Here is a 13,811-nt window from a genome sequence, read left to right on the forward strand (position 1 = left end):
TTAAGTTGTTCAATAGGTCTAATTATATCAAGCTCTTGAATACCAATTTCTGTTTTAATCAAGTAATAACATTTCTCATGTAACTGGGAAGATGTTTTTGCGGCAACTTATATGTAAAGGTTTTTAGATTTAAATCCTCTACTAAGAATCTATAATCTTATTATGGTGCCTGAATGGTAACAGAGCTTAGTGACCCTCTCACTTAAAAATGGAAAAAAGCCTGTGTTAAATCAAAGAATAGCAATGATAACTTAGCCACCAATATGATAACACTGGGGCCTAAATAAATGTTTGAACACATATTTTATCTCTTGTTCATTTGACTTCATCAAAATTAAAGCTTTTGTGTACCAAAGAACAATTTTAAAAATAAGTGAGACAACCTGCAGAATGGGAGAAAATACTTGGAAATCATATATCTGTAAAGGGTTTAGGATCCATAATATATAAATAAATTTTACAACTCAGTAACACAAAGACAAACAACTCAGTTTTAAAAAATGGGGAAGAATGAGTATACATTTCTTCAAAGAAGATTTTAAAATGACCAATAAGTGCATGAAAAGGTGCTTAACATCATTAGTCATTAGGGTAATGCAATGGGTAGGTAAAAACCCACAATGAGATATCACTTCACAACGGCTCAAATGCAATAATAATAAGAATGACAAGAAATAGTGTTGGTGCAGAATGTAGAGAAATAGGAACTCTTGTACATTACTGGTAGAAATGTAAAATGGTGATTGTTTTACTTCACCCATAGCCAAGATGGCTGATTAGAAGCAGCTACGGTGCATGACTCTCACGGAGAGGAAGGAAAGGTGTGAGTGAATATAGCACCTTTAACTGAAACATCAAACTCAAAACTATAAACACTTCGAAAGACAACCTAGGCAATACCATTCAAAACATAGGCACAGGCAAATATTTCATGACAAAGATGCCAAAAGCAATCGCAGCAAAAGCAAAAATTGACAAATGGAATCTAATTAAACTAACAAGCTTCTGCACAGCAAAAGAAACTATCAACAGAGTAAACAGCAAACAGAATGGGAGAAAATTTTTGCAAACTATGCATCTGACAAAGGTCAAATATCCAGATCTATAAGAAACTTAAACAAATTTACAAGAAAAAAACAACCCCATAAAAAGTGGGCAAAGTGCATGCGCCCAGCACTTGGGGAGGCTGAAGCAGGTGAATCACCTGAGGTCAGGAGTTCGAGACCAGCCTGTCCAACATGGCAAAACCCCATCTCTACTAAAAATACAAAATTAGCCAGGTGTGGTGGCATGTGCCTGTAGTCCCAGCTACTTGGGAGGCTGAGGCAGGAGAATCACTTGAACCCAGGAGGTGGAGGTTGCAGTGAGCCAAGATAGCACCACTGCACTGCAGCCTGGGTGACAGAACAAGACTTCGTCTCAAAAACAAACAAACAAAAAAAGAAGACATACATGCAGCCAACAATCATATGAAAAAAAGTTCAACATCACTGATCGTTAGAGAAATGCAAATTAAAACCACAATGAGACACCATCTAACACTAGTCAGAATGGCTACTATTAAAGAGTCAAAAAATAACAAATGCTGGTGAGGTTGTAGAGAGAAAGGAATGCTTATACACTGTTGGTGGGAGTGTAAATTAGTTCAGCCATTGTGGAAGACGGTGTGGAGATTCCTCAAAGACCTAAAGACAGATAAACCATTTGATCCAGCAATCCCATTACTAAGTATATACCCAAAGGAATATAGAATAATATATATTCTATTATAAAGACATGCATGTGTATGTTCATTGCAGCACTATTCACAATAGCAAAGACATGGATTCAACCTAAATGTCCATCAATGATAGACTGGATAAAGAAAATGTGGTACATATATACCATGAAATACTATCCAGTCATAAAAAAGAACAAGATCATGTCCTTTGCATGGACATGGATGGAGCTGGAGGCCATTATCCTTAGCAAATGAATGCAGAAAAAAAAAAACCAAATACCACATGTTATCACTTATAAGTGGGAGCTAAATGATGAAAACACATGAACACATACAGGGAAACAACACACACTGGGGCCTTTTGGAGGGTGGAGGGTGGGAAGAGGAAGAGGGTCAGGAAAAATAACCAGTGGGTACTAGGCTTAATGCTTGGGTGATGAAATAATCAGAACAACAAACCCCCATGACACAAGTTTACCTATGTAACAAACCTGCACTTGTACCCCTGAACTTAAAAGTTAAAAAATACACAAAAGGCCAGGTGCAGTGGCTCATGCCCGTAATCCCAACACTTTTGGAGGCTGAGGTGGGCAGATCACCTGAGATCAGAAGTTCGAGACCAGCCTGGCCAACATGGTGAAACCGCATCTCTACAAAAAATACAAAAGTTAGCCGGGCATGGTGGCCCTTGCCTGTAGTCCCAGCTATTTGGGAGGCTGAGGCAGGAGAATCACTTGAACTCAGGAGGTGGAGGTTGCAGTGAGTCGAGATCAGGCCACTGCACTCCAGCCTGGACGACAGCGTTAGACTCCATCTCAAAAAAATAAAAAAAAACACACAAAACAAAACAAATGAAATGTAAAATAATACAGCCACTGTGGGGGAGTTTGGCAGTTTCACTCCTAGGTTGTCATGTAAGGACTAATAGTTAAAGCCTGGTATCATGTTCTATCTCGGCATCTGGTGAAACTGGAAGGGCTATAAAGGCATAACTGCATATTTATCTCCCTCCTCTGCTCCTGAAGATAAGGTCCCCACTAAACAGCTCTGCTTATCAAGGAGACCAGATACAGTTCCTGCTTATCTCTCAACAGTGGGTTTCAGTTCCCTGGCAGCCTGCAGAATTATTCAAACAAGCCAATCATACGCTCCTGTGGGATCTAGGGGTCACCTCACCCTCTTGATATTACAAAGCTTATGTCCCAGAGTCCCTGGTTGTTCCCTCTGTTCCTAAGTGCGGTCCTCACGTGGACCTATGTGCTATGTGGTGTTCTCCTCTGCAGGGCTGTGAATGTACACAGCAATAAATTGCTTTGGATGCATCTGTTCAGTGTCAGGTGTTGTGTGTTTGGGTATAACCATAGCCCTAGGATAGGAATCTCTCCCTCAGCAGGGCGGTGAATAGGAGGCGATTAAAGCTGAGTCAAATACCCCAAATAATTGAAAACAGGAATTCAAACAAATGTTGAACAAGAGCTTTCAGAGTAGTATTATTCTCAAAGATGGAAACAACCCGAAAGTTCATCAATGAATGAATGACTAAAGAAAATGTGCTATACCTATACAACGGAATACTATACAGCCATAAAAAGAAATGAAGTACTGATTCATGGTACCATGTGAACTAAAAATAAAATTCTAGGCCTTCAACTGATTGAATGAACCCCCATCTTGGCCAAGAGGACCCCAGAGAAACCTTAAGAACTATGTTCCCAGACGTCATGGGGTGGGGGGTTGGACATGCCTTGTTACACCACTTCCCTTCTGTGGTTTAGACACAACACCTGACTAGTATTAATGCTAAAAAAGAGATCAGGCTGGGTGCAGTAGCTCATGCCTATAAATCCCAGCATTTTGGGAGGCTGAGGCGGGCAGATTGGTTGAGGTCAGGAGTTCGAGACCTGTCTGGCCAACATGTTAAACCCCATCTCTACTAAAAATACAAAAAAAAATTAGCCGGGCATGGTGGTGTGTGCCTATAATCCCAGCTACTCGGGAGGCTGAAGCAGGGGAATTGCTTGAACCAGGGAGGTGGAGGTTGCAGTGAGCCAAGATCGCGCCACTGCACTCCAGCCTGGGCAACAGAGTGAGACTCCGTCTCAAAAAAAAAGAAAAAAAAAAGATCATAAGGCTGACACAACAAACTCTTTGTGGCAATAACATACCAACTTATAAACAGGACCCAAGGCCATGCCAAATAATGGTTAAGTCACACACCCCTACACTTAAAGAATGAACTTTGTTCTAACTGCCACAAGGTTTTTCTTTTTCTTTTCCAGCAGCTAAACAAGCACTGGCCTTGAGATAAGCAATATTAAAACAATGACAGCTTGTCCACTGCCAGAGGCTAACTGACTCTCCTGTGCCATAAGCCATAACTACAGCTTTGACTGGACAAGGGACTCATTTCAGCAACTTTCTCCTGATAAGAGACAACTGAGCAAGAACTGGTTCTGGCCAGTTTACAGAGGTTGCACACTTGTATAACTTAGTATCCTGGAAAGACCTTTAGATGTACAGGGCCTAATTGTAATAGATTTAAATGTTAAGTCTCCACCGCAAAGTGAACATGGGTCATATATAACATGCATGTTTATTCAGCACTTATGTGTTAGAACCACGTTAGTGAATATTCATAGCTCCTCCTATAACCTGTTAAATACATATGCTTGGCCAACCCATTCAGCATAAATTCCCATCTCACTCCTCCCTCCCTGCAATGTGCCTGCCTTTCAGGCTTTGCTGGAGGCTATGCATCCCAGCCTGTTAGGATGGCCATCTTGCAGTCTGTAACCCTTTATAAGAAATAAAGCCTCTTTTATTTGTAAACAAATAAATAAATAGCATGATTTTTAAAGTTAAGAGTATGATTCAAGTTTTACAAAGTGTCCAGAATAGGTAAATCCAAAGAGATAGAAAGTAGCTTGGTGCTTGCCAGGGGCTGGGAGAAAGGAGGAGTGGAGGGTTGCTTAAGAAGTATAAGTTTTCCTTTGGGGCGATGATGAAAACATTTTGGAACTATAGGGGTGATGGTTTCACACATGTGTATGTGCCAAGTGCCACTGAATTATATACTTCAAAATTGCTAATTTTATGTGAACTTAACATTTACAAAATTAGTGGTTATTTCAACAGAGGAAAGCATGTAAGCTATTGGAATTAGAAATTCCAGTATTATTTTATGTACTTCTATGTAGTTAGCTATTTAAAATAACAATGTATTTATTCACCTCTTAAATAAGAAAACAGATAAGTATTTTCAAATAAAAACCACTGAAATATTCTTCATAAATTTAATCTACTGTAAGGTTCTCATTCCCAAATATAATTTAAGTGATAGATACCTTAACATAAAATCCTACTAATTTTAAAGAACATGCACTATAATAAAAACGTTTAGTAGAAAGGACTTTGAGATTTCTGATGTTCACAGATGTTACTTTTTGCTTCCTCGTTGTTACATCAGTTCATAATCCTGGAGATTCATATAGCTAAAAACAATTATTTTGTACTTAGAAGCTGAGGCAATCTATGTGATATGCTACACAATTTCTAAAAATAATTTATTAGGCTTTTACTTTTACTTTTTGAGAGGAAGTTTTTTGGAGGTTGGTTTCTGCCAAAAGGTATAACCAAGTGATGCTGTTATTCTTATCTATTATCCCTTTTTCTTACAATTTTTCATTACTAGATTTAATTGTCCAAAAATGCCCTTAGAGAATATTTCTTTAGATCTCTAGATATGTGCACATTCATAATAAAATGCTTGTAGGGAAAGCAAAATTAAACCAGAAAGCATTGTTTTGCCAAAGCTTAGACCACAGGTGTGTGGATTTGTTTACCTGAATCAAAACCTCCTGAAGCTGATTACAAGCACCGATTAGTGAGCGCATCTCGTCCCAGGTTTACTGGATCTGAATCATTGGTTGGGAGGTAGAGCAAAAGCTTTTTTATTTTTCTTTTTTCACAAGAACCCAGAGTGAATATAATATGCAATATTGCAATATTGTTAATCAATTCATAAATAATTCTTCTGTATCACCACTTGAATTTCTCAAATCATCTTGCAAAGCCCTACTTTAACAATTCAATAGACACATATCAAATATTATGTCAGACACAATTTCAGACACATCCACATGCTTGAGAAAAAAGACATGGTGGTAGGAGATGCAGCCTAGAACCACTTTCCATGTGTTCTTTCCTGAGTTTCTGATTTACCTTTCAATGGCAAAAACCGCAATTACTTTTGCGCCAACTTAATAACTTCAGCTGTGAGGACAAAAAGCCAAAACTATGCTAAGGGGTTCTCAGTGCTTTCCAGAATGATAAACCATCACCCACAGCTGAGGAGGCAAGAGGTTTATAAACACCTGTGGAGGCCCACTTCCCTAGGTTTTCTGTTTCCTGTGATACCTTGGGCTGGAATCTGAAGCAATGAAGATCTCTTGTGTGTTGGGAAAGCTCCTCATGCTTTTCGAGTTGATTCATGGTCTCCAAGATTGTAAGAAAAAGAGGGAATTTTTGGAGGTGGCAATTTCAATCAGCAGGGCTTTTTTTTTTTTTTTTTTTTAACATATTGTTGACTTTGGGAGTTTGTTTTTTTTATAACCTAGTGATCAACTGCTAATAACTAATGATCGCAAAGTTACAGCCAGACTAGTTTTATCTTTACCCCTGTACTTCCTCTTGAATTTTTCCTCTAAGCTGATCTCAAGGTGCTGTTGTTTTTTATTTTTTTTTACATGCAAAATATTTCCAGGTTCTTTCTCTGCTGGAGACTAGCTTGTTACTTTGCTGAATGTGAAATACTTACAGTGACTGGCAAAATCAGGAGAGACTGCCCAGTGCCTAAGAGAGGAGGTTACCTAGGTCTACATTTCTGGCCGTGGGGTATGAAGTTTGGACAGAGAGTAGTCAGCTGTATTCAATTGTATATGATTCTTTTCAGAGTTGAGGCTCTGAATAGATTTGGCATAGATTTTAATCCTGATCTGCCACTTAATAGTTACATGACCTTAAATTTATCCATGTGTAAATATGGGATAATAATAAAATTGACCATAGAAATGTACTGAAAATGAAGTAAGACCTCAAACCAAAATTTAACATAGTTGGCAATCAAAATTATCATCGGAGTAACTGCAGTATTATTTTGTTTCTGAATCCTTAGTGTCACATACTAATTAATATTTATTGGCTCAGATATTTTGATGCAAAATAAAATTTTAAGTGGAAGCACGTGATATATTTTTCTATTGTGTGCAGCCAAATGTAAAGCTTTTTCTTGTTTCTCCATTTCAGATAGATATCACTTACACCTAGATATATTTCAAACATGTATTCCTGAGACCTGTTAGTAAAATTTGAACAATCCCTAAAAACAAAGTGTGCATGTTGCGATATTTGACTTATTTAGCTTAGAAATTCTCAACTATCGCAAGGACAAAAATCCAAACACTGCATGTTCTCACTCATAGGTGGGAATTGAACAATGAGAACACATGGAGACAGGAAGGGGAACATCACACACCGGGGCCTGTTGTGGGGTGGGGGAGGGGGGAGGGGGGAGGGATAGCATTAGGAGATATACCTAATGTTAAATGACGAGTTAATGGGTGCAGCACACCAACATGGCACATGTATACATATGTAACTAACCTGCACGTTGTGCACATGTACCCTAAAACTTAAAGTATAATTAAGAAAAAATTCTGAAGAAGTACTTCTACGGTTTTTCCACATTCTGATGAAAAAACTGAGACACATAGAGATTAATTGACCCAAGATCTCCCAGTGGAAAAATATACAAATAGGAGCAAAACATTTTCACTCTACAGTTGGGGATTCAGCTCAAGAGGTTGAAAGTTTCCTGAGTTCTTTGTTTGGGGGCAGACGTACTATTTGATGTTTTCCCTTTTTAAATTTTCTTTCAACAGTGTCTATAACCTGTTCTGAATCCTGGCTCCAGGTCAAACTTAGACGAACGCCGCTGTTAAATGACCTGCAACCTTTGCAAAACGAACTCTCTCTAGGAATTGGCTGTCCTGTAAACATGGTCGAGGTGGATTTCTTTGGGTTCCTGTATCTTCTAACTTTTTGTGGCATCAGAGTGAGCGTAAGAGCAGTTATTATTTCAACCAATAATATATCTTTTGACTGTTTTGGGTCCACAAACCAATGACTAAAACTGCAGTATTCACATTTTAATTGTCAGTTAATTTAATAGTTCATGTAGTATTGATTATTCTCTTCAACATTTTTGGATGTTGCTTCTATCTGTAGGAAAGACAAATAGGATTTGGGATTCCAAAAACTGTGTGTTCCTACTTTAAAATATTTTTTTGGCAACATATCTCTTTTGCCTGTGATAGTGTTTTTTTTGTTGTTGTTGTTGTTTTTTAAAATATTCTGGTTAAATCTAGTTTGAGAGAAACATTTCGTTTTGAAACAGTACCACAAATACCCAACTCTTGTTGTTGACCTAAAATTTTGATGAAAATGGGGTATATCAGTTTATATAGTTCCTGTATTAATAAGAGAGAAATCAATCTTTCCAGTCACCAGAAAACTTTTTTTTTTTTTGCTTTATGTTAAATTGTTGCTATGTTTTGTAATTATAGCCTAGTTTTTCATTTTTGGTATCACATCTATTTCTAGTAAAGATTATTTAGGTGAACTGATTCTATTTTTGGATCCAAGTACATGACTTTATCATTTGTTTGCTGCTGTATCTCTAGTCTCAAAAAAAAAAAGTCTAGTATTTGGCAAGTACTCAATTTAGCATGAGGCTGACTCAACTGCTTTTCTAAAGTTGTCAAATATCTAGTCAAAATTCACACTGAATAATTTAGGTCTGCCTAAATCAGACTCTGACTCTTTTTTTTTTTTTGCTTTTTGCAATGGAGTCTTGCTCTGTCACCAGGCTGGAGTGCAGCGGCACAATCTCGGCTCACTGCAACCTCCACCTCCCGTGTTCAAGCAATTCTCCTGCCTCAGCCTTCCAAGTAGCTGGGACTACAGGCATGCACCACCACACCTAACTAATTTTTGTATTTTTAGTAGAGATGGGGTTTCACCTTGTTGGTCAGGATGGTCTCAATCTCTTGACCTAGTGATCTGCCCACCTCTGCCTTCCAAAGCGCTGGGATTACAGGTGTGAGCCAACGTGCCTGGCCCAGACCTTGACTGTTAAACAAATGTGGTGATCAAAAGTTGTCTATGCAGACTCAAGTGCCAAATACAATGTCCCTGCTACTATGGCAGGGGCTATTAATGTCTTCTAAAACCAGGGATTTTTATCACTTAGCTCTGCTCTTCTATTGTAGACCGTGCACTCATACCTATTTTATTTCATAAAGTAAAAATAAAAGTAAAAATTATTTTGTTTTTAATCTATATTTTTAAAATGGAATTTGAAAGCATTTGAAAGAGATATAATTAAGATAATTTATATCCTTTACACCTTTAGGAACATGGAGTAGGTATTCTCATTGAAAGTTTAATTGTATATGAACCAACGAATTTTGACTTCAATTTACACATCCCAGTATCATGCTATGTGCAAAGGTAAGTGCAGTGCACTACTGAGATTAAGGCTATCTAATATTATTTTTGCCTTCTAGGTGTTCTGATCAGTTAAACTGCTGAACATTATGCTAAGGTTGGACATTGGATCAAATCTGATCTATGGTGTTCTGTTGGTCATGTGAGTAGGTCTAAATAAATTGATTCTCTCAATGTAGTTTCCGCATGAGTAGATGAGGCTCAGTTGTTATATGAGAATTGAATTCTACAGTCACTAAAGAGATTATGTCAGAAAGTTTTTGTTAGTAATCTTTCCTTTTTTGCAGTGTTCCTTGTCTGCACCTGCCCATACTGTCTCATCCATGGCTATTATAGGAGTTCTTAAGTTTTTGTGCAAACCATACCACCTTTCTGCAGATGTGGGGAGGAGCCAAGAGATTCAAAATCAGTATTTTCTCAATTTTAAAACTAGAATTGAATCAGTCTTTGATTTGTCAGTTTCTGCAAAAACTGACAAATTTTTGTATTTTATATATATATCTAATTTTTTTTATATATATAAAATCAAGACTTGCTAATGACCAAAATTCTCTCCTTATTGGAGAAACTTTTCTGCAATGAGAGAGTAAAGCAGGAGAGCCTGTTGATGAAGGTGGAGGCAATTCTGCTTGTGGTCAAATCCCTGGTTGAGCTGTTCACAAGGCCCAGTTGCATGTGTGTTCTCTCTGCCCCTAGAGTGTTCATTCCAACCAATTTTGAAGGTTGTCTCTGTGTCTCTGGAGACACAGAATTTAATGGCTATATTTAACTTACAACCACTGACTTCAATTATACTTGGTGATATCTACTTTTCTTATTCATTAACAGCATCTTTGGTCCTTCTCATAAGTGAAAATCAAGTCAGGTCCCTATCTCCAATGTTATATCAAACTTGGGTTTTCTTTAAGACTCCTAGAGTTTTACAGAGCACACAAAGGATTTGGAGAAGAAGAGGGTTTAGTATAATCTGAGTAGTACATTTCCCTCTGCTGCTTTTATCTTCATGTTTTGCTGATATGACAGGATGAAAGAGGTTGGGTCACAATTATCTCATGGTTACATGGTGCAATTGTGGTCCATTTCCAGCAATGCTGGCTAGATAATCATACCTTCACCCAGAAGTGTATCTCGAATTATGGATGTGTGAGTTTTTTGGAGTTCTTAGAAAGGGGGTGGTCATCACAACTGCATATTTCCTGATGGACCGATCTAAAACAAGGCTTACTTCTTCGTCCATACAACTGCCACTGTAGGCCTCCACACAACCTGCTCATTTTCTGTCTTGGTTGTTTTTTATTCCAATATCTTGACTTCTTGAGGTCCCCTCTCCAGTTCACAGGTATTCTTGAGTGAAATCCTGGAAATACAGCTAAAATGTTGATACCTGTGGGGGAAATTACTTAGTCATACTACAGTTCATGGTGGGAGAATATGCCCTTTCTGTCCCCTTTTCTACACCTGCATGTCTCTCGTGTCATTCTACTGCACAGGCAGATAGTTGGGAGTAAAATGTCAGCCTCTTGCTGTAGGAAACTCTGTGTTGGAGAAGCTGATAGAAACACCTTTATTTGGCTTCATTAAGGGAGGGAGAATTTTAGTGACCCCACTTATCCCTCTGTCATAGGCTAAGAACTCAGAACTGCATGCCTCTAATCATTCTCTGTAGATGTCTGTTGAGATGATTAGAGATAAGAGCTGCTTCAGCCACTTATTAAGAGTTCTTGGTATTTGACATTCCTGTGAAATTGGCTTCAGGTCACAATAGTACATTTTGGGATAATGAAAAGTCGTATGCAACCATCTGTGAATTTTTTCTCATATTCTGTGAAACAACACATTTTCATATTTGTCTCAGCTAGCTGATTTGGCATTCTCTCACAGCTGGAAGAGATCTGTTTAATTTAGTTTTTCTCCACATTTCAACTTTTTCTCCACCTCCAAAAGCATAATATATACAAAGCTTAAATATATTTTTTTCTCTTTTTCAGAAGGTTTCCAATAATCTTAGTAATGAGAGGGAGAGAGAATGATAGCCGTCGTGAATGCAGAAGGTCAGTGGGACAGCACCGCTCACTATCACATGAACTTGAAGACTTGGAAATCCGTCCAAGAGTGTCCTATGTGTAAGAGTATTTTGAATTAGTACCATAAATGTTTACAGTACATTTATATAAAAAAGGCCAGGGTTTAGTAAGGTGGTGGCATATGCCACATTTTGTGTACTATTGCCCATATGATTTTAGTTCAGGATCATTGGAATACTGCATTTTTTATGTTTATTAGGGATATATTTTATCTTGGCATTTCTCATTATTTCCTTACATAAAACAGATTTGCAATTGTAACCTCAATAGTTCTTTTATGTTAATTTACTTGAGCTAGAGAAAAACCATCTTTGGTGCATATAAGTATGGAATGGGATCATGGATTCCCGTAAAGATAGTAATTGATATCTATGTTAACTCTAATTCCAGCTTTTTGTTCTAAAAGAACTAAATGTCAGCAAGAGAAAACTCAAATGAGCCATAAGAATATTCAAATAGGCTATAATCTTTGGACTTTAGTATGCTAGAGGGACAGGCCCTTATTCCACGTATCAACCGACCCTCATAATTCTAAACTTCAGATGGTGTCCTCATGTAAAATTTATAATCATTTACTAAGCATTTGTTAACTAATAGCTACATATACACATAATATGTATGTGTGTATACATGTGTATATATCGTATTTGTGATACTTGAATCATTAGAATATTATAATGGTCCCTGGGGTTTAAAATTGATGCCTTTTTCCCACGTTCCCACTTTGTTGAGCCTCAGTGGATAGTTAGATGGTAGTTTCCCATCAGTACAACAATGTAACTGTTTCTTTTCCGTCCTTACAGGAACAGTGTTCCCTTGTTGAGCTACCTCATTGTATCCCTTCCTAAGTGTAAGAACAAAGCTGTACATTCTGGATGATGAGGCTACCCTACTTCACCTGGTACTCTGGCTGCTTGAGGATTTCATTGCCTTTTAGAAGTTGGACTAGTCACTGGATATTGTCTTTTATCATTTCAAATGTGATATTTTTAAATGAAAAAACCTGCTCTGTTGTCCATATTTATGAACCGTTGGGGTAGGGAGAAAAGCCTTCCCTTCCCAGATTTTAAACTTGTAATAAAGGTATTCTTAAATAAAGTTTTACAATTCTTAATAGTTATTTATATTTTTAAAAGAAAACTTAAGTCCTGATTCACAGAGCATTATAAAGTGTGAGGCAATTGCATTTTGTGAATAGGCTTACCCATCATCATCTGTTTTGGGTAGCAATTGAGTATCTAATACACAGTAGTCTTTCCTTATTCAGTTTTGCTTCCCATGGTTTCAGTTTCTCGCTGTCAACTGTGGTCTCAAAATACTAAAATATTCTTAATATCTTCATGGAAATTCATAATTCCATTTCATACTTGTTACGTACTCCAAAGAAAGACACATTCACATAACTTTTGTTGTAGCATATTTTATGATATATTTTATTGTTAATCTCTTACTGTGCCTAATTAAACTTTATCATAGATATAAATAAGAAAATTATAGTGTTTATACAGGGTTTGGTACTAACCACAATTTCAGGAATCCCCTGGTGGTCTTGGAATGCATCCCCTATGGATAAAGGGAACTACTGTATCATAATCTAATTCTCCAGTTGTTCCCCGTTTCACTGACTTCTAATGATATGTGTAAAATAAGATGAAATCAGGATTTTCTTTATAAATTGTTCAGAAAATAGCCTATTTCAGTCTCTTCTGTATTTTTTCCTGTCTGGATCACTTTCCTTTTCTGTGTGTTAGCAATTTCAAATCAGTTTGGAAATGTAGGTTCATCCATCTGGTCATATAAAGAGGCTAGAATTGAGAGGAAATAAAATTCCAGTTGGTTTCTGCATTATTGATGATTGTTTCAAACCAAAAGTGAATCTTTCTTGTCCAAATATCTCTAAAGGCAAATGGCAGCATTTGAAAAGAATGTAAAAATCTTTTGCTTTTACGGATTCTCTTGAAATTCTTCACTCCTAATCTCTGGATTATGGATCAGTTGACAAAAGTAACAAGGGGTCATAATTGCAGCATACTCTAGTCCTGATAAGGCTGTCAAACAGTTTAGAGCCCTGGATAAATAAGGCTTCCTGCAAATCTCTGCCCTTTTTTAACCAGTCAGAGGGAGGAAGCTCTGCCTCAGAGTTTAGAAGATGTAAAGGGCCTGGGGCCAGGAAGATTTCCAGAACAGCAAAAATCCAGGTAAGGCTGTAGGGTGACTGTTTCTTCTCACCAGTGGGTTAAAGACTGAATTTTCTTATGAGAAAAATTGAAAGTTGAAGTCCACAAATGTGTCTCAAATGCTGTTCTTTCTTGGGTAATGTAGTAAATAAACATGGTCCCCTAATACTATCCTGTTCTACTGCCCTTTATTTCGGTTTATTTCCCACAGCATTTTCCCCTTTTAAAATAGGCCCCTAAGGGAATTTACTAACATAATATGAA

The 13,811-nt window shown here is 37.4% G+C and overlaps 1 protein-coding gene across 1 annotated transcript, besides 1 other annotated feature; it reads left to right on the forward strand.

Annotated features, from left to right (window-relative positions):
- Positions 2,581–2,875: an enhancer, noted in NCBI's record as "tiled region #15631; K562 Activating DNase unmatched - State 5:Enh". NCBI's record gives its function as "activates a minimal TATA promoter and a strong SV40 promoter by Sharpr-MPRA in K562 cells {active_cell/tissue: K562}" and the evidence as "EXISTENCE:reporter gene assay evidence [ECO:0000049][PMID:27701403]".
- On the forward strand, positions 6,158–12,468 carry OOSP4A (oocyte secreted protein family member 4A). The gene is made up of 5 exons (NM_001395277.1): positions 6,158–6,224; positions 7,660–7,838; positions 9,192–9,289; positions 11,275–11,409; positions 12,174–12,468. Exons 1-5 carry the CDS (start codon positions 6,158–6,160, stop codon positions 12,247–12,249), a joined length of 555 nt encoding a protein of 184 aa, NP_001382206.1. The 3' UTR covers positions 12,250–12,468.
- Positions 12,469–13,811: the final 1,343 nt, after the last annotated feature.

This window comes from Homo sapiens, chromosome 11 (assembly GCF_000001405.40).
Source record: "Homo sapiens chromosome 11, GRCh38.p14 Primary Assembly".
NCBI lineage: Eukaryota > Metazoa > Chordata > Mammalia > Primates > Hominidae > Homo > Homo sapiens.